The sequence below is a fragment of the Homo sapiens genome, chromosome 4, assembly GCF_000001405.40.
Source record: "Homo sapiens chromosome 4, GRCh38.p14 Primary Assembly".
NCBI classification, from domain to species: Eukaryota; Metazoa; Chordata; class Mammalia; order Primates; family Hominidae; genus Homo; species Homo sapiens.
The window spans coordinates 150,677,793-150,699,256 of NC_000004.12; the positions used below are offsets into that span (position 1 = coordinate 150,677,793).

General features: G+C 35.2%; 1 protein-coding gene across 9 annotated transcripts in view; it reads right to left on the reverse strand.

Moving 5' to 3' along the window:
- Nucleotides 1–21,464, reverse strand: part of LRBA (LPS responsive beige-like anchor protein) — a 751,293-nt gene that overhangs the window by 413,358 nt on the left and 316,471 nt on the right. For all 9 annotated transcript variants that reach the window (XM_047416462.1, NM_001367550.1, NM_006726.5 and 6 more), the window contains exon 37: nucleotides 5,759–5,925. In XM_047416462.1, coding sequence (XP_047272418.1) covers nucleotides 5,759–5,925 — 167 coding nt within the window. The remainder of the gene's footprint in view (nucleotides 1–5,758; nucleotides 5,926–21,464) is intronic.

Below are 21,464 nucleotides of genomic sequence, written 5' to 3' on the forward strand. Positions count from 1 at the left end.
ATCCCATGTCTTAAAAAAAAAAAGAAAAAGAAAAAGAAAAAAGAAAAGAGAAAAGTGTATAGTTCTCTGATTCCCATATGTTCAGTATCAGGCCTGTAATTAGTACATCACAAATATACAAAAGATAATATTCATACATTTTTCTAGCCATTAAAAGTAGAAATAGGCCAGGCATGGCGGCTCACACCCATAATCCTAGCACTTTGGGAGGCCGAGGTGGGCAGATAATTTGAGGTCAGGAGTTCGAGACCAGCCTGGCCAACATGGTGAAGCCCCATCTCTACTAAAAATACAAAAAAATCAGCTTAGCATGGGGCACACACCTGTAATCCCAGCTACTTCAAAGGCTGAGACAGGATAACTGCTTGAACCCAGGATGGGGAGGTTGCAGTGAGCTGAGATCCTGCCACTGCACTCCGGCCTGGGTGACAGAGTGAGACTCTGTCTCCAAGAAAAAAAAAAAAAAAGAAAGAAAAGTACAAATAAGGTTTGACTAATAATAAAAATTCAAATCTAGTGCCATAAGTATGTATAATTATATGACACAACTATACTGTGACCATATAATACATACTACACAAGAAAAAAATGGCTCCTCAGTATCAGTACTGCAATATGCCTCTGTGGTAGAGACAGATCCCAGAAATATCAACTTACTAGAAAAATGAGCATATAGGTGAGTCTCATTATGTATCTGGCCACAGGCATTTAAAGTACATAGTGTTTAAAACTAAACACTAAGTCATGCAAAGACTTTCAAAAATATACCTGTTTTCTTTAACTAACATCTCCATTGATTCTTCCATTTGTTTTGTTAGCTATTGATTTTTTCCCTCTCCTTCTTATGAAAGGGGAACAAGGAGGGGATACATGGGGAAAATGTTACCTTTATTAAGCCATCTTACAATGTTATTGTCAGGAATGGCTATAAAGAATTTCTAGCATCGTCAAAGTCCCAGAGAGAGCAATGAGTGGTGCCTGCACTGATGTCAAGTACTAGCTCCTAGGCATGGCTTAGGAATAAAAATAAACGCATTAGAAAGAATAAGAATGGGTGTATATTGCACTTATGAGTACCCATTTGCTTGATTATCCACATAGCGTAACGGAATCAAATGCCTAAGATGAACTCTTAGTAAGTAAGGTATATTAGCATTTTAGTATACTAATTTCACTACAAATTCATTGATATTACTTATTTAGTAAAAAAAAAATTAGAGGTAAAGGATTTTTTTAAAGATAGGACATGATATACTTCTTTTGGAAAAGAAAATACGTCAAGATGAGTTCAATATTGAATTTCACCAATGAGTATATATTAAAACATCAGAAATTATTTTCAAAACAATCTTTCCTTAGGCTTAAAAGGAGAACCTGATTTAAAATCAACACCACCCTAGCCATAGCTTTTAACGGGTCAAGTACATTAGCTACTCCTTTCTGCAAACAATGGTACATAAAAACAAAGTGGGATATTTCCTACAAAGAAGATTAAAAATTCTTTAGGCCTGCCTTTCCTTGGACTCTGGATTTTAAAATGACATACTACAAGATAAAATAGTAATGCTAATATTGATAGTTTGTCCATTACAGGTCAGCTAACTGTCCACTGGAACAGTTACAAAGCTGTTAGTTTCGATTTCACAAGGCCAATCAATACAGAGGCATACTGTTTCAATTTTGTCTGCATTGATTTTTTTTTATAACACTCCAACCTTACAGCATTCATCTTTCTGAAAGAAGGAAGATTTGATTTACTGAAGAAAAATTGGAGAGAGCATCACAAAGATTTTACCGGCAAGCCTGTGACACAGAAAAAAGATGAATGTCTTTCAGGAAGAGACGCCTCTAGCTTGAGGGCATCCATTAGAACACACTCAAGCAATCTGAAAAGGAGTTTCTTAAAGCAGCAGAAATCTAAACCTAAACAGTCTCCTAAACTAATCAAAAGCATTCAAGAATTTTGATATGAGGTTCCGTTAAAAATTCCTAAACCTTATTACTTCTAAAATAATTTATGTCTCTAGCTCTACCTATGCATTTTTTAGAGATGAGAACCACCTCTTTCCCAGACTAATACCAAGAGTGAATTTCCATGGTACATTAGTCAGCCTATTAGAATGCAATGAAGGACGATATGAGAAAAGGGTAGTATGTCCTCTGAGACTTCCATCCAGTATTCTCCATCATCTCTCCTCATCCTTCTTACATTCAGCCACTTTACCAGGTGTCATCTACATGAAAGATGATTTGTCTCCTGACCCAAATAAACACAATGCCTGCTCCATGCACCGGAAAAAAATTACTTCTGCCACTCTGTTCATTTGTGGCTTCTTTCTTGCTTATTCCACTATTCTTATCAAGCTCTCTCAGTTTTCACCTGAGCCTCACTCCAGGTGACAGTAATGTATGGATGAACAGGTACTTGTCTGTCCCATTATTTCCTGAAATCTCTAAGCATTTGAAAAAATGCAATGACAGTAAAGGGCACAGTTATCAGAGCTCCAAGGGAGGAATACTTTCCTTTACTTACCAATGCAATAGTCTAGGCATCAAAGAAAAAAGAGAGAGAGAGAAAGAACTCTCATGGCAAAAGCTGGTGTAAGCGAGATATTAAGACACAAATTGCATTCAGGCAGGTCACTAGGTGTCAAAAGATATTAGATGCCTGCTGTGAGGAAACAACAATTCCCATCTGCCTCTGAGAAAATAATATTTTCATTTTCAGTTTTTATTGAATGGAAACTTTTGGGAATATGTCTTTATAAAGGGTATTAAGTCTACCAACTATAACATGTTCAAAATGGCTATAATCATCATTGTGTTATCCATAAAGCAGCAGATTTCATTTGGTCTCTTTAGATGGGATAAATTGGATTCTTTTTTCCCCGGCTTGCAGTTTTGTCGCAGGACCAGATGTTTCTCAAATGCCACATGCTGAGGCTCCTATACTGAATGTAGCACCTGACCTTCTCTATAATTGACTAAAAATATTGATGTAATGGCATGGGTCTGATTGTGATTTATTAAAACCACTGCCGATCCCAGGCCAGCTGCCAGCATTGCAGCCCACTGATCGTGTGGCATTAGAAAAGCCATCAATAGTGAAACAAAATAAATGACATTAATGGGAAAGTATCAGGCCTACATAACCATGGCTACAAGCAAATTACGTGGATTCCAAAGGAGGGTCAAAATAAAAAAAATGCCACAAATGAAATTTCTAAATATTCTAATATGATTGAGTTAAAAGACAAAATGCTACTATAATTCTTTAGATAAAATGCAAAGAAATTATACTTAATTTAATCCTCTTCACTAGAATTTTGCTCATTGTGCATATTTCTTTTAGCAGGCTTAGCATAGTTAAATGCATTACAGCTACAGTATGACTCTGATTTCTCTCTAATGCCATTTATGTTTTCTAGAATTATGCTAAGTGAAGAACAAAGTACACTGTGTTATTCCCATTTATTACAACCATGTCCATAATTTACAAGCTGATTATGCAAGCCTCATACAAGGGAAATCAGAGAATAGTTAACCACTGTCAAAGTATGGTGAGCCAGCATACATTTTTGTCAGCTACATTTTCTTACATGGACCTTAAAAGGAACATTAAGATCCACACTTCACATTATTGGGAATTAATATTGAAAAGGACTATTTAAAGATAATTTTTAAAAATGCATTAGGGAGAAACCAGGTATTCTAAATAAGTAACAGTTGAATATGATACAGAACTAAATATAATGACAAAGAAATATGAACATACAGGCAATGTGCTTTGTTACATATTGTTTTTTAATGTAAGATGAGATTTATAGAGAGGAAAATATTAATTTAATCATGTCCATTTTGTGATGGTACATCCTTTCTTGTTGTTCTGAATTTAAAATGTACACATTAGAAAGCTAATAATTTGACAGCTATTTTCATTTGAGAGGAAAAAGTAAGAGATATTTTGTTCTGTGGACTTGCAGAAATATTAAAATTTCAAAATTTATTTCAGTTGTTTCTGGCTTAATGAATAATAGAGTTGATACCTTAGAACAACTCTATTACTGAAACACTAATTATTTCTAGATAAATACATTTCATGGTCCATTTAGCTCTCCAAGATATTTTATTACACCAAAATCACTTCAGGAAAACTATGTTTTCCTTTTGATACCACATGTATATACTATGCTATACAAAGGTACAGCTATCAACAGAAAGAATTTTGATCCCATCAAAATAACCCATGAAACGCTTGACATAAGTTATCTAAATGTGTTTATTTTAAAACTGCAAAACCTTTTGGGTGAAAAGAATAACTTTTTAAAAAGATTCAACAAATGCACATTGGGTTCCTACTGTGTGTCAGGCACTATGCATCAGAGTAATATCCTAATTCATTCAGTATCTGATGTCAAAATGATATCAAATCTGTAATAATAAAGCACTTTGAAACTCTAAAACCCTCAATACAACACTCCTCCATTCTCCTCGCCATGGGCTTTTAGATGTTGCAAGATAAGGCACCAGAGATCACTGACCCATGAATAGATGTTATTTCCATAACCACTCTTGCACCTGCAGATCAACTGAAATAACATTAAAACAAACAAACAAACATGGTTCCTGTTGGCTGTCCTTTTGATCTCAAGACCTTGACTTGCCTTTCTTTCTCTGAATATCAAAAATTAGGTACCCAGAAATATAATTCATTATATGCAAATATTCTTTGTAATAAATATCACACGCTACATTTATTCTATATTAGTGAATACTTTATACAAATAGCTTTCAATGCAAATTTTTGAAGTTTACTTTTCTAAAAGTTAAAATTTTTTTCTTTATACTGGAAAATTTCTAACACTGGATTTTGATGTCTGATAGACACATAAGTTGATTAAAACACAAATGGAAGCAAATTACACTCTTATATAATATACAAGTAATTTACTATTTTTGTTTTTGTTGTCTTCTAGAAAAAGTTGGTCAAAAATTAGAAATTAAAATATAATGTTTTCTAATAGCAAAATAAAAACTTTCTGTCATTAACTTTACTTAAAAGAGTCAACACATGTTCCTGAAATTTGTAGCATAAAATATTTCATGGAGGATATATAATTTGTCCAAGTTCCTTAGTCTTAAAGGCAATTTAATTAATTTCTATAAAGTAAAATCAACAACAGCATGTCCAGTTTGGCTATCTTAAAAGAAGGTAGATATATTGAGTAAAACTTTAAAGAAGGCATTTAACCAAGTTTATCATCACAGTCCTGAAATTTGCAACATAAGAAAAAAAATCATTTTATTGTATTTTCAAAATTATACTTTGAAAATATGGTTACTTTCAAATAACTAAAAAATATAAAAAGAGCATAGTTTTTTAAAATAAAATGTTATATACGTAAAAATTTGGCTATAAGTGTAGATAGTAAGATAGTTTAACTGCTTCCCTTAAGAATTCATTTCAAAAGGAGTAAGTAGATAAAGCAAATATGATTTTGGAAGTAGTTGAGGAAACTGATCTACAAAGATCCATAATTGTACACATACTGATTGGATAAATATGGATCTATAAAGATCCATAATTGTACCCATACTGATTTTCTCCTTCCCTTTGGCTTTAAATTCATAGAGATGATGAAAGACAAAATTAAATTACTCTCTTCTTCATCTGGCTTTGATCATATCCAAAGTCATTTATCTAAACCTAAGCCATCTACAGAAAATCAGTGGCCAAATCCTAAAGGTATCCCTTTACCTCACTGCAGAATTTCCCCAGGCTCCATGCTTGTCTGTGAGAATGTTGATAATTTTCTGGATTAGTTGAGTTGCTGTCACGTGGTCACGATATTTTGCTGCTCTTATCAAATGATCACACATCTTCTCATCTTCTCGTTTGTCTGCAGAATACTGGGCACACAGTGACTTGGAGAGAAAAAAAAATAATACTATAAAAAATGTGAAAAAAACCTTTAAAATCCATTATGAAATAATCTTTACCCTAAATCAAAACAACCAAAATTTTAAATCTACTTTTACATTCCTCATTCACCTAACTGAGATTTAGTGATCTGCTGTCTCAATAAAACATCCCACAAGAATTTACTTCTGTGAAGTCAATCATGAGATACACTCAGAAGTGGTAAACATTCAAGTAGAGACCTGAACAATGAGACAAAGACAGTCTTGTAAGAAGCAGGGGCCCAGCACGACAAACAGCATGAAGTGAAGTTGCAAAGGACTTGAGACATAGTGAATAAGGAGAATAATGGTTAAGAAATAATTTTCAAAAGGCAGGCCAGGGCTACATCATTTGTATTATGGTAAGGAGTTTAGATTTTATTCAAATGTAATGGAATCCCAGAGGAAAGTTTTACGCAGTGAAGTGATAAATTTACATATTAAAATGATCATATAGCTGCTATTTAGAGAATGGATTGTAGTGGGACAAGAGAAGTGAAGTTGGCAGTTATGAGGCCACTGCACAGGGCCAGAAAAGAGACAATAGCAGCTTACAATAGTAAATTGAGCTAGTTCTAAATACCTTTAGAACATGAAACTGTTTGGTCTTTTAAGTCCTAGCAAAATGTACCAAGAGCTCTGGGATTGCCTGGGATCTTATTTCAAATGCAGAGTCTCAGGCCCCACCCCAAATCTATTCATTTTGTGTTTGAATTTTAATTCCCAGGCAATTTATATACATCAAAGTCTGAAAAGTACTGTCTTAGATATCATCAATTTTACCAAAAAACACCTTAGAATTATTTGTCAGTAATCAGATACACTATAATTGCTAGTCTCCAAAATGCTTATTTCTCTTCTTTTGGAATTCGGATACTTGTGGTGTCATGTTTATGATACTGTAGTTAAGGCATTGTTTAAAATAAGAAAACAAAGATGGATGTAGACTTGGTCCTTTGTTCTATTCAGTGTCTACTGGAGTCCTCTCCCCCACCCCCACACACATATCCTTTGATAGATAAGTAACATAAACTTGATGTTGGGATAAATATTTCTAGTTTACATACGGAATATGCATTGTGGATGCTTGCCTCTCCTACAGTATACCAGTTTCGATAGATTGCTGCCACGCACTACTCCCACCACCACCCCAGCAACAAATAGGAGTCCTGATTGTCCTGAACCAATCGTAATAATCACACCCACACTGGCAAACTGGATTAGGGAAGGACACTTGATGTAACTGGTACAGGTAGGGCAAAGTTCAAGATTTAGTTGGACAGTTGGTTCCCTCCTTCCTCTCAAGGTGTAAAAGAAGCAGCAAATTCTAGGAGTATTGGAAGCTCTCTGTACCATGAGGGAAGCTGGCCTGAAGATATGGCCAAAATGAGAGCAGAACTATGAAAATTGTAGAAAAACAGAGCTCACTCCAGAATCATGAACTTCCAGATCAATCAAATTCTCAAGACCAGCCAACCCCTATGAGACTTTTTAAAGATTTTTTTTTAAGAGCCAATAAACTCCTGCTCATTGTAAACCAGTAAAAACATCCAAAAAAATTGGTTTTTTTTGTTCCTTACACCAAAAGCAATTCATCCTTTGCATGGTGTATATGTACATGCATAAGGAATCAAATATATATATATATATATATATATATATATATATTTTTTTTTTTTTTTTTTTTTTTTTTTTTTGAGACAGTCTTGCTCTGTCGCCCAGGCTGGAGTGCAGTGGCGTGATCTTCTTGGCTCACTGCAACCTCCGCCTCCTGGGTTCAAGCAATTCTCCTGCCTCGACCTCCCGAGTAGCTGGGACTACAGGTGCACGCCACCACACCCAGCTAATTTTTTTGTATTTTAGTAGAGATGGGGTTTCACTGTGTTGCCCAGGCTGGTCTTGAATTCCTGAGCTCTGGCAATCCACCTGCCTCGGCCTCCAAAAGTGCTGCGATTACAGGCGTGAGCCACCGCGCCTGGCCAAGAATCAAATATCTTAGTCTGTGCAAAACACTATGCTAGGGAGATGAAAAGCTGAATTGTATAAAGAGGAATTTTAGAAGTTAGTCTTGGGTGGGAATAAAGGAAACCTTTAAAGCAAAGGCAAGGCAGAAAAACGTTAATCAATTTCAGGGAGGGACAAAGCAAGAGAGTTTGACCCAAGTACAAAATACAGGTAGAACGAGTAATAGTCTGAAGAAACTCTGGAATGCAGAATGAGTATAGAAAAAAGTCACAGGAATCATAGTATACTTATATGAATGACTACAAGATTGGGAAGCAAAATAAAAACCAGGTTACGGTATCACCCTTGCTAATATCTCCTGTCAGTCTTGATCAATTCACTCATTTACCTCTTTAGGTCTAAATGTCCTCATCTGCAAAATTAGCAGGTTATATTAGATCTAAGATTGGGTCAATCCGAAGATTCTGGGCAACCTCTGTGAGGGTACTTGAGAGTACCTGAGTTCAACCTCTGAGAGATGTTCACTGGTAAAGGCAAACTGTTTATTTAATCTAAACACTGATGTGGAGAAAATAAATCCTACTAAGAACTAGAATAACTCATGAGAAATTAAAAGCAAATTTCATACGCTATATTTTTAAAAAAGATTGACCCAAACCACAGAAGAGTTCACTTTGTCAAAAATATGATTTGAGCAAATAAAAGAAAATGATTAAGAAATGTATGAAAGGGCAGCAGTTTAAGTGAAGATAACTAGGAAATTATTTCATTGTAACAAAAATGTCAACTGATATGTCATTTTTTATATATTCATTCAAGAACTGAGAAGCATTCTATAGGTTATTTCATATCTAACCCAACCATACACTAAAACAAATAGTACGAAATGACAGACATTCACAGAACTGTAAACTTTCAACATTCTCTACTATATCCATATCTGTCCTTGTCTAACTTCACCTAAGAGGAAATTCAAATCTACTGATGAGATTTAGAAAATCACCGGTTTCTGAAATGCTATGAACCACCACATACCTTCATATTAAACAGCATTAAAAGTAACCAAAAACACATTATTAAATAGCTTGTCATTTCTATCTCTTATTAATATATTAATTTAAAATCAAATTATATTTTGTAAACATTTGATAAGCTATTAAAGTTTGTTCTAAAAGGCATAATTCTAAAAACAAGGGCTCAAGGTAAGCTAAACGGTAAAATGGTTTAAAGTGTTCTTTAATGGATCCTTCTTTACAATTTGAACAGCAACTTTTCATATCTGACATAAAATCTATAGATATAAATCACATTAAAGGGCTATTCTTTCCTGATTATCAATCTCTGTCTCTTTGTGGAACCTTAGGGTCACATCTGACCTAAAAACATGATAAAAGAAAACCAAACAAGAATGTTTCATAAAGATATAATGAACTTGTAATATTTTTTAAATGTCCTTATAATGTAATTTGAAGATGTTCTTATTTAAAAACCAATAATAAATCCTATGTATGAAATATTGTTCAAAGTCATGTGGAGATAAGAAATATTTACTCTAGAATCAAATACATATTATTTATTTGTAGTATACATATTTGTGTATGTATGTATACCTGTATTTGGAGGTTGAGTGGAGGTACAAGAGACCTTAACAAATATTGCTATTTATCGGTAACATAAACGGTCAAATCTAAAACTTTCATTCAACTTTAAGGCAGAATTTTTTATGTTTTATATCAACTTTTCTGTGTTCCTATTTGTAAGCACTATATAAACTAGATAATATAACATCACAACATGGCCACAAAATATTTGACTATAAAAAGAAAAAAATAAGCATTTGGGGAACAATTCTATTTTATGTGATTATTGCTAAAGAAACCTAAGATTTATAACCAAAGAATGAAGAAACTCAATATAGGATAAATAAACCTCCACAGAAGAAATTCAGTCACTCACAGTAAATAGACAAAGCGACCATTTTAGCTCTTTAAATGTAAATGAATAGAGACAATATTTAATTTTTCCTTCCAGATGTCATAGCTCTACCTAATTTTACTATTCATCCTTTGCATGAAAGTAAGAGAGGACACAAACAAATGGAAAAACATTCCATGCTCATGGATAGGAAGAATCAATATCATGAAAATGGCCATACTATCCAAATTAATTTATAGATTCAACACTATCCCCACCAACCTACCAATGACTTTCTTCACAGAATTAGAAAAAACTACTTTAAATTTCATATGGAACCAAAAAAGAGCCCATATAGCCAAGACAATCCTAAGCAAAAAGAACAAAGCTGGAGGCATCACACTACCTGACTTCAAGCTATACTATAAGGCTACAGTAACCAAAACAGCATGGTACTGGTACCAAAACAGATATATAAAACAAATGGAACAGAACAGAGGCCTCAGAAATAACACCACACATCTACAACCATCTCATCTTTGACAAATCTGACAAAAACAAGAAATGGGGAAAGGATTCGCTATTTAATAAATGGTGTTGGGAAAACTGGCTAGCCATATGCAGAAAACTGAAACTGGACCCCTTCCTTACACCTTATACAAAAATCAATCCAAGATGGATTAAAGATTTAAACGTAAGACCTAAAACCATAAAAACCCTAGAAGAAAACCTAGGCAATGCCATTCAGGACATAGGCATGGGCAAAGACTTCATGACTAAAACACCAAAAGCAATGGCAACATAAGTCAAAATTGACAAATGGGATCTAATTAAACTAAAGAGCTCCTACACAGCAAAAGAAACTATCATCAGGGTAAACAGACAACCTACAGAATGAAAGAAAATTTTTCCAATCTATCCATCTGACAAAGGGCTAATTTCCAGAATCTACAAGGAACTTAAACTAATTTACAAGAAAGAAACAATCCCATCAAAAAGTGGGTGAAGGATATGAACAGACACTTTTCAAAAGAAGACATTTATGCGGCCAACAAACATATGAAAAAAAGCTCATCATCACTGGTCATTAGAGAAATCCAAATCAAAACCACAATGAGATACCATCTCATGCCAGTTAGAATGGCGATCATTAAAAAATCAGGAAACAACAGATGCTGGAAAGGATGTGGAGAAATAGGAACGCTTTTACACTGTTGGAGGGAGTATAAATTAGTTCAAGTATTCAAGTATTGTGGAAGACAGTGTGGCAATTTCTCAAGGATCTAGAACTAGAAATACCATTTGACCCAGCAATCCCATTACTGGGTATACACCCAAAGGATTATAAATCATTCTACTATAAAGACACATACACAGGTATGTTTACTGCGGCACTATACACAACAGCAAAGACTTGGAACCAACCCAAATGTCCATCAATGTTAGACTGGATAAAGAAAATGTGACACATATACTCCACGGAATACTGTGCAGCCATAAAAAAGAATGAGTTCATGTCCTTTTCAGGGACGTGGATGAAGCTGGAAACCATCATTCTCAGCAAACTAACACCAGAACAGAAAACCAAACACCGCATGTTCTCACTCATAAGTGGGAGCTGAACAATAAGAACATATGGGCACGGAGAGGGGAACATCATACACCGGGGCCTGTATGGGGATGGAGGGCAAGGGGAGGGATAGCATTAAGAGAAATACCTAATGCAGATGACAGGTTGATGGGTGCAGCAAACCACAATGGAACATGTATAACTATGTAACAAACCTGCACATTCTGCACATGTATCCCAGAACTTAAAGTATAATAAATAAATAAATAAATATTTTTAAAAAGTCCTAAAAGATTTAAAAAAAAAACAGAAATGGAAAATGTTAATAGATATATTCTCTATTAAAGAAATTGAACTCAACTACTTTACCATAAAGAAATCTCAGGCCCACATGTTTATATCGGTGAATTCCACCAAACATTTAAGAGGAAATAATACTGAGGCCGGGCAAGATGGCTCACATCTGTAATCTCAGCACTTAGGGAGGCTGTGACAGGAGGATCGCTTGAGCATAGGAGTTGAAGACCAGCATGGGCAACATGGTGAAACCCCATAGCTACAAAAATACAAAAATTAGCCCGGTGTGGTGGCATGCACCTTTAGTCCTAGCTACTTGGGAGGCTGAGGTGGGAGGATGGCTTGAGCCCTGGAGGCAGAGGCTGCAGCAAGCCGAGATTGTGCCACTGCACTCCAGCCTGGGTGACAGAGCCAAAAAGAAGAAGAAATAATAATGAAAAAAAAATTTACAACAGCATGAAAAATATGAAATACTTAGCTATATTTTAAAATTTATACAGATCTTATAAAAAATAAAACCATAAAATAGTTAAGAGAAATTAAGAAGCTAGATAAATGAAGAAATATATAATTTATGTATACAAAATATACAGTTTATAGATTTAAAGATTCAACATTTTAAAAATTGATTTTATATATTCAACACAATCTTAATAAAAATTTTTAGCAATTTTTATAAAACTGAAAAGCTGATTCTAAAACACATATAAAAACAGAAGGTAGGCCGGGCGCTGTGGCTCATGCCTCTAATCCCAGCACTTTGGGAGGCCGAGGCAGGTAGATCACAAGGTCAGGAGATCGAGACCACCCTAGAAAACAAGGTGAAACCCCATCTCTACTAAAATACAAAAAAAGTAGTTTGGCATGGTGGCACACGCCTGTAATCCCAGGTACTCAGGAGGCTGAGGCAGGAGAAACGTTTGAACCAGGGAGTTGGAGGTTGCAGTGAGCCGAGATCACGCCACTGCACTCCAGCCTGGCAATAGAGCAAGACTCCATCTCAAAAAAAAAAAAAAAAGGTAATAACAGCAAAGTAACTTTAGAAAACAAAGTTGTAAGACTTCACACCCTTCCCACCATATTATAAAACTAGAAATGAAGAGCACTGGTTATTAGATGAAGAAAGAGATGACAAAATGAAGAAACAACTGGTACTGAAACACCTGGCTATCCACATGAGAAAAAAAAAAAGACGAATCTTTTCTTTCACCTAATATCATACAAAAAATACTTAATTCAAACTGGATCAAGGATATAAATCTAGAAGTTAAAACTATAACATTTCCAAAACACAACAGCAGATTTTTTTTATAACTTTGGGATAGGCAATGTTGTTAGACTGGACAGCATAACAGAAAGCATAGAAGAAAATCACAAGAATTTAAAAACTGACAAAATAAACTTTATCAAAATTTAAAACACCTGGTCTTTTTTTTTTTTTTTTTTTTTAGACAGAGTCTCGCTCTGTCGCCCAGGCTGGAGTGCAGTGGCTCAATCTCAGCTCACTGTAAGCTCCGCCTCCCAGGTTCACGCCATTCTCCTGCCTCAGCCTCCCGAGTAGCTAGGACCACAGGCGCCTGCCACCATGCCCAGCTAATTTTTTGTATTTTTTAGTAGAGGCGGGGTTTCACCATGTTAGCCAGGATGGTCTCAATCTCTTGACCTCATGATCTGCCCGCCTTGGCCTCCCAAAGTGCTGGGATTACAGGCTTGAGCCACCATGCCTGGCCCAACACCTGCTCTTTAAAAGAACCATTTATAAAATAAAAGGTAAGCCACAAATTGTGAAAAAAAATTTAACATACATCTAAATGACAAATGAATTCTTTACAGAATATATAAAGAATTCATACAATTCAATAAGACAAACAACCTAATTAAAAATAATTAGCACAGGATTTGAACAGGCATTTCACAAAAGATATACAAATGGCTAATAAAGCACATGAGAAGATGCTTAGTCAGTAGAGAAATACAAATAAAAATCACAATAAGCTATCACTATACACCCACTAGACCGGCTGAAATTTAAAAGAGCTACAATACCAAGCACTGACAAGGACATGGAACAACTGGAACTCTCATACCTACCTTGGTGGTTGAATTGTAAAGTCGTCAACTACTTTGGAAAATAGTTTGTCAATTTCTTGTAAGCTTAAACATATACTTACAGTAGCATGTAGCAATCCTACTCCTAGGTATTTCCTCAAAAGGAATAAGAACATATTTCTACAAAAATAACTTGTATGAAAATGCCCATGGTGCATTTAGTCATAAAAGTCAGACACTGAAAACAACCCAATGTCTGCCTATAGCTGAATGGATAAACAAAATAATTCAACTTAGTATTTAAAAAAACAAACCAATAATACACACAACAATGTGAACGAATATCAAAAAGTTTATGCTGACCAAAATAATCCAGAGTACCTACTATTTGATTCCATGTATATAAAATTTTATAGCAGATAAAACTATCTATAATAACAGAAATCAGATCACTGGTTGTCTGGGATTGGATATGAGTATATGGAGAGGAATTGACCACAGTGGATCACAGGGGAATTCTCTAGGATGACAAAATTTCCTATATCTTTATTATAATGGTAAAATCACAGATATACACCTTTATCAAAACTCCTCAAATTGTATACTTAAAATTTTATTACATGCAAACTATACTTCAATAAAGTTTATTTAAGAAGTGTTTGTTTGTTTGTTTGTTTGTTTGTTTTTTCAGGCAGGATTTCACTCTATTGTCTAGGCTGGAGTGCAGTGGTGTGATCTTGGCTCACTGAAACCTCAATCTCTTGGGCTCAAGTGATCCTGCCACTTCAGTCCCCCAAGTAGCTGGGACTAGAGGCATGCACCACCATGCCCAACTAATTTTTTCGATTTATTGTAGAGATGAGGTCTCACTATGTTGCCCACGCTGGTCTCAAACTCCTGAGCGCAAGCAATCCACTCACCTCGGCCTCCCAAAGTGCTGGGATTACAGGCATGAGCCACCATGCCCAGCAAGAAGTTTTTAAAAAGTGGATGGACAAGGTATAGATGGAGGAAGCAGTTAAAATGCTCATACCAAAAAATAGGCTCATATAGCAAATAGGTAAATACCTTCTACAAATCAATGAGGAAGAGACAGATAACCAATAAGAAACTGGGTAAGAGAGCAACATGTACTTCACAAAAGTAAAAAATAGATAATATATAACAAGCAGGAGAATAGACTCAATTCTTTTAAAAATTCAAAATAAAAGTACATCAGAATGCCAAAATAAAAATCACCAGTCAACTGTTGATGAGAATGCTGAATAATAAAGAACAATTCTACACTGAGGCTGGGAGTGGTATATACTTTTGCAAGATAGTGTGACAATATCTATTAAAAGTGAAAATATGAACATTTTGTAATCAAGTAATTCCACCATACAGAAATGCACAAGGATGTACGCCAGACATATAAAATATTCAAAGTGCATTATTCATAATAGCTAAACACTGAAAACAACCAAACAAACAGAAGAGATTATTTAAAAACTAATGGTCTACATATTCGGAATAGCTAAAAATTGGAAATAATCCAATTACCTATCAACAGTAGAAAGAGGTAATGAACAGCTAGCAGTCTATACATAATGGAATACTATGTAGTAATGAAAGAGAAGTTGAAAAATGTAAGAAAATAATTAAATGTTGGAAACATAATGTTGAAATAAAATTTCCAGAATAAAATACATGTTTTATAATTCCATTTATATAAGGGTCAAAAATTGGGCAAGGGCCGGGCGCGGTGGCTCACGCCTGTAATCCCAGCACTTTGGGAGGCCGAGGTGGGCGGATCACGAGGTCAGGAGATCGAGACCATCCCGGCTAAAACGGTGAAACCCCGTCTCTACTAAAAATACAAAAAAATTAGCCGGGCGTAGTGGCGGGCGCCTGTAGTCCCAGCTACTTGGGAGGCTGAGGCAGGAGAATGGCGTGAACCCGGGAGGCGGAGCTTGCAGTGAGCCGAGATCCCGCCACTGCACTCCAGCCTGGGTGACAGAGCGAGACTCCGTCTCAAAAAAAAAAAAAAAAAAAAAAATTGGGCAAGAAATTACAGTGCTAAAAGAAACATACTTAAGTTTTGAAAGAATAAAACAAAAGCAAATGTCAACCATAAAATTCAGAACAGTGGTTACCTTAACAGGGCAGAAAGGGGTTGTGATTGGAAGGCTAGAAAACTTCTCACAAACTCTTCGTTTCAGTATCACAAAAAAATTAAATTAATGATGTTAAACATACATTGTTTCTAAAGTTAGGTTTTCAGAGTAATAAGTTTTTTAAGAAATAGGTTATAAAAAGCAAATTTTTATTAAGTTTGCAATTAAGTTCTTGTTAAGTTTTGAAATAAAAATAAACTACACACAATTTTAATGCTAAAATAGCAAGCCCTTTTCCTAAATTAATAATGTTTAATGCTAATTAAACAATTTGTTTTGGTCTCACAAGTTTTGTATTTAAAACCTCTTTTAAAGACTTTTAAAAGAAACATATACTTGCTTTTAAAAACAAATCAAAGAACGACATAAAAAAGAAAAAGAAATTTCTCTCTTCTACCTCCTCCCTGTTTGGTCAGCTGCTTTCTACAGAGGTAGTCACTGTTTAGAGTAAGATGTCATTCCTATATAATGGAATCAAACTGTACATCATTCCATGTCAGGACCTTCTTTCTTTTACATGGCTACAAACAGATGATTACATTTTTAGTTAACCAAGCATTGCTTCTGCTAAACACGTTTAAGTGTAGTACTTTCCTTCTCAATTTGTCTCAAAATCACTTACACTATAAATTACTTGTCTCACTGAAAACAATTTAAAAGTGAAATCACTTCAGGGACAATAAATGAAGAAGTTTCTCAGTATTTCACTTTTGGAGGTCTTTGTACTTGATCCCTTACCTTAAAGTGTGATCTTTAACAAAAAAAAAAAAAAGCTATCTACAGAAACTCAGAAAGACTCATAGAAAAGACAGAAAAATGAAAGCTTAGAAAATCTCAACAGCAAACAAAAGTCAACCAATGACAATGTGTGACAGCCACCTTTAATTCTGTAGTGATTCCTCTGTCATGCAACGACTCAAAGTATTGATTTCTCTCAGCATGAAAAAGCCTAAGCCAATGAAACAGACAGAGCAGCAACCCCCTCCTCCCTTCCCCCCATAACAGCATTCAAGGTTAAAACAGGCAGAACACTTATCAAAGTATCTCTTCCATTTCTTCTTGTTTTAATAGACTGGATACAACATGTTGGGTTCTTATCGTTACAAACTATAGTCCTCAGACAATATTTTTAAATAATTTGAAGATTAATATAGGTTATTCTATTTTTTTGCTTCACACTTTTGGTAATAAAAAACTTGTTTCAAATGCTTTTTTTTTCTGTGAACTCTTAACAGAAGTATATATAATATTTGTAAAAACAAGCCGACACTAATAAGAAGGCTATAGTTTCTACTTGTGTGCCAATTCCACACATAATATTTTGTTTTCATTATTTCTTTAGAGTACTTATTAACAATAAAACCCACAAATACCTAAGCATCTTCCAAAAAGACAAAGTGAATCCTTCAACAATGCAAACACACATCATACATCTGTTTGGAAAATAAAGTAAACTATGGCTGCTATCTGTGTTCAAGAAAATAGTAATAACATAAAATGTAAGCAAAGGATAGGGTTGAAACCACAGAATTATATTTTAAAACTATAGTATGAGACAAAAATAACAATCAGCTCTCTGTATCCCCAGGTTCTACATCTACAGATTCGACCAAATTTTTTGTTTTGTTTTGTTTTTGAGTCAGAATCTCACTCTGACACCTAGGCTGGAGTGCAGTGACATGATCACAACTCACTGCAGCCTCCATCTCCCAGGTTCACGCAACCCTCCCATTTCAGCCTCATGAGTAACTGGGACTACATGCACACATCACCATGCCCAGCTAATATTTTTCTGTAGAGACAGGGTCTCTCAGTGTTGGCCAGGCTGGTCTCAAACTCCTGGCCTCAAGTGATCCTCCTGCCTCAGCCTCCCAAAGTGCTTGGATTACAAGTGTGAGCCACTGCACCAGGCCTTGACCAATTTTTGATCTGCAGTTAGTCCTGGAACCAATTCCGCATGGATCCAGAGGGATGACTGTGTATCTTCACAAAATATGTATAAATGGTTACACACAGAGAGGTAAAATTAAGAAGCTTTAATTTCTTAAACTTTACTTTCTGCTAATCTGCAAAAGAGTTAGATGATCTTAAGCAAATCCTATCATCTTTTAACTCTACCTAACCAATGGATTTTTAAAAGCATAAAAAACTAGGGTCTTTTAGTTGTATTAGCAAGGTCTCCTACTTATGAATAAATATATTTGCTACTACAAATAGGTAAATCTTACACTTAAATATCAAGGCCAGACATGGTGGCTCACACCTCTAATTCCAGCACTTAGGGAGGTCGAGGCCAGCAAATCCCTTGAGGCCAGGAGAGTTCAAAGCCAGCCTGGGCAACATGGCAAAGTCCTATCTTTACAAAAAATAGAAAAATCAGCTGGGCATGGTGGCATGCACCTGTAGTCCTAGCTACTTGGGAGGATGAGGCGGGAGGATTGCTTGAGCCCAGGAGGTTATGCTGCAGTGAGCCATAATCAGGCCACTGCATTCCTGCCTGTGTGAGAGAGTGAGACCCTGTCTCAAAAACAAAAATAAATTTCAAATAAAAGCAGTTCAAGAACAAGCATGAAAACCAGAAAGAAAATAAGCAATTATGTATAAAAATCATAATTAACAATGTAGTTAAGAGCACCAACTCTAGAGCTAGATGACTTGAGTTTTAACTCTTGGTTTTGACACATTCATGCTTAAGCAAGTTATTTGAAACCCTGTGCCTCGGTTTCCTCATATAAAAGAGGAGATGATGTGGTATGCTTTTCAGGAGGATCAAGAATAGACATAAAATGATTAGAACATTGCCAGTCATATAAAGGTAACACCTAACATTTATTGTAGGCTTAATTGTGATGTTATCAAAATACGTAACAAATAGTCCCTGTCTTCCAGCATCTCACTGTAGTTTAGTAAAATAAATACAATATGAGAAAGAAATAAACTATGAGATAACTGCTCAAAGAGTTATAGACAGTATGTTTGGAAAGAGAGAAAAAGAAGGAACTATTAGGAATCAGGGAGAGGCTGGGCACAGTGGCTCATGTCTGTAATCCCAGCACTTTGGGAGGCGAGGCAGGCAAATGAATACCTTGCACTCAGGAGTTCCAGACCAGCCTGTAGAGATGGCAAAGTCCCATCTCCACAAAAAAAAAAAATACAAAAATTAGCCGGGCATGGTGGCACACATCTGTAGTCCCAGCTACTTGGGAAGCTGTGGTGGGAGGATTCCTTGAGCCCAGGAAGTTGAGGCTGTACTGAGCCGAGACTGCAGCACTCTACTCCAGCCTGGGTGACAGAAGAGACCCTGCCTCAAAAAAGTAAAAAGAAAAAAGAAAAAAAAAAAGGCCGGGCGCAGTGGCTCACACCTGTAATTCCAACACTTTGAGAGGCCAAGGCGGGTGGATCATGAGGTCAGGAGTTCAAGACCAGCCTGGTCAAGATGGTGAAACCCCATCTCTACTAAAAATACAAAAATTAGCCTGGCATGGTGGCAGGAGTCTGTAATCCCAGCTACTCAGAAGGCTGAGGCAGAGAAGTGCTTGAACCCAGCAGGTGGAGGTTGCAGTGAGCCAAGATCACACCACTGCACACCAGCCTGGGTGACAGAGTGAGACTTTGTCTCAGAAAAAAAAAAAAAAAAAAAAAAAAAACAGGGAGAGTTTCACAGAGGAATTAAAGGCTAAGTACCTGTTCACCAAGAAGAAAGGGATAGAAAAAATAAAATGTAGAAAATAAAAGAGGTCAAAAACTAAGAGAACAAGCTCAAATAAATGCATTTTTTTAAGCAAAGATAGGAATAACAGAATGAGACATGTAATAAAGAGCCTTCTCTTTTTAAATATCCTGATACATGTTTATATTTTTCTTGGGTAACTAATACATTTTTTTTACCAATTACCTTCATAAAGGAATTATTCCTCAAAGGTTTATATAAATCATTTAACATACAAAATATTAACTAGATTTGTATTTCTCAGCTGATGATTGTTATAATGTTATAATTTCTTTAATTCATATTCAAATGTATTGCCAACACAGACCATTTCAAAACAACACACCTGAATATTAACTGGGTTATAAATACTGTTTCTCAAACTACCTGTAGGGAAGGGCCAGTTTTGTTTTTTTTTTAACCTTTTTAAACACCTTTAGCACTGATGCCTTTGATGACATTGCCAGACATTCAAGCTATAAAACTTTTTAAATATTCAATTTCTGTACTCAGCTCTTTGTGGATTACTAAGAAGTAATTTAGTCAGCAGACCATACTTAAACAGCACTAATATAAAAAGGTAAGTAGAAGGAAACTATTTTTATCAACTCAAGTATTTCCATTTTGCTTTGTATGGTAAAATACTTGCTTTGCAAAATAAAATACTTTGTATTATAAAATGCTTGGTCTTATATTCAGTGCTTTAATTTTTATTAATAAACCAGAAACAACAATAGCCAATATTCTAAGTGCACATGAGAAAAGTCTAAATTATAAACAAATGTTGTATAAAATACACTGTAAAGATTTTTAATTAGCTTAGTTTCTTATTAATCTTTATTTTAAAATCCATTAAGAAAAGGAAGGCTTTACATTAGTACATAATTTGGTCTATGGTTAAGATAACCAGAAGATACCATAAACTGAAAGCTTAAGTAAAGGCTTGATATATCTATGAGGGATATATTCAGACATTTTCTTTGAAGAGATTTTCAATGCATTAAAAGGTCTGGTTTTCAAAATATATTTTACAAGAACATACTGAGAAGATAATGAAAAAACACTCTTCCAGTTTGGATTTAATTTGATCAACAATGCCTGCAACAGTTTTACCTACATATAAACCTTTTGCTTTTTCTAGCTTGCTAGCTTTAATAGAAATATAGTAATAGTAAGCATCCGAGTAAAATAGCTGTTTTTTTAACCTGGTGCAGCATCACTTAACAATTTGCAAACAAAATCTCATCGATTCACTTTTAAGTGGTCTTCCTTTATCCCACCAATGATAGTTCCTTTAGTTTCACAAACAGCTCAAAAATTATTATTTCTTGTTATATGTATGTATATACCTGTCCTTTATACAGGTAAGAATATGATGTTCAAAAGATACCTACAGAAGAGTAACAGCAGAAAATATTGAGGCCTTTCTTTTAACCTGGTCATTTTCAAAAAGCTAAAGTTGAGAGTATGACAAGTAAAACACATCATGGAAGAACCTCTAAAAATAGTGTGTTCCAGACTAAATACACAAGACTTTGGATATGAAAACTGAAAAATATTATTACTGCATAGTCCAGGTCTATAGACGCTACAACATATATGATAAATTGGGGTAAGAGTTTCCTTAAAAAAATTTGATGGTGCCGTTGTCACTCAACCTGAGGCAGGAAAAAAGGGTAACACTGGACTGAGGAAAAAGCAAGATTCTTCTCTAAGAGAGGAAGCAGGTGATCCTGAACTCGAGAAAGAATCTGGTCAAAAGAGCTCTCACTGTTGGAGAGCTAAACTGGCTTCTGCAGCATGGCAAAGGGAGACGACCTGGGGAAAGAGGGAGACAGAGTCA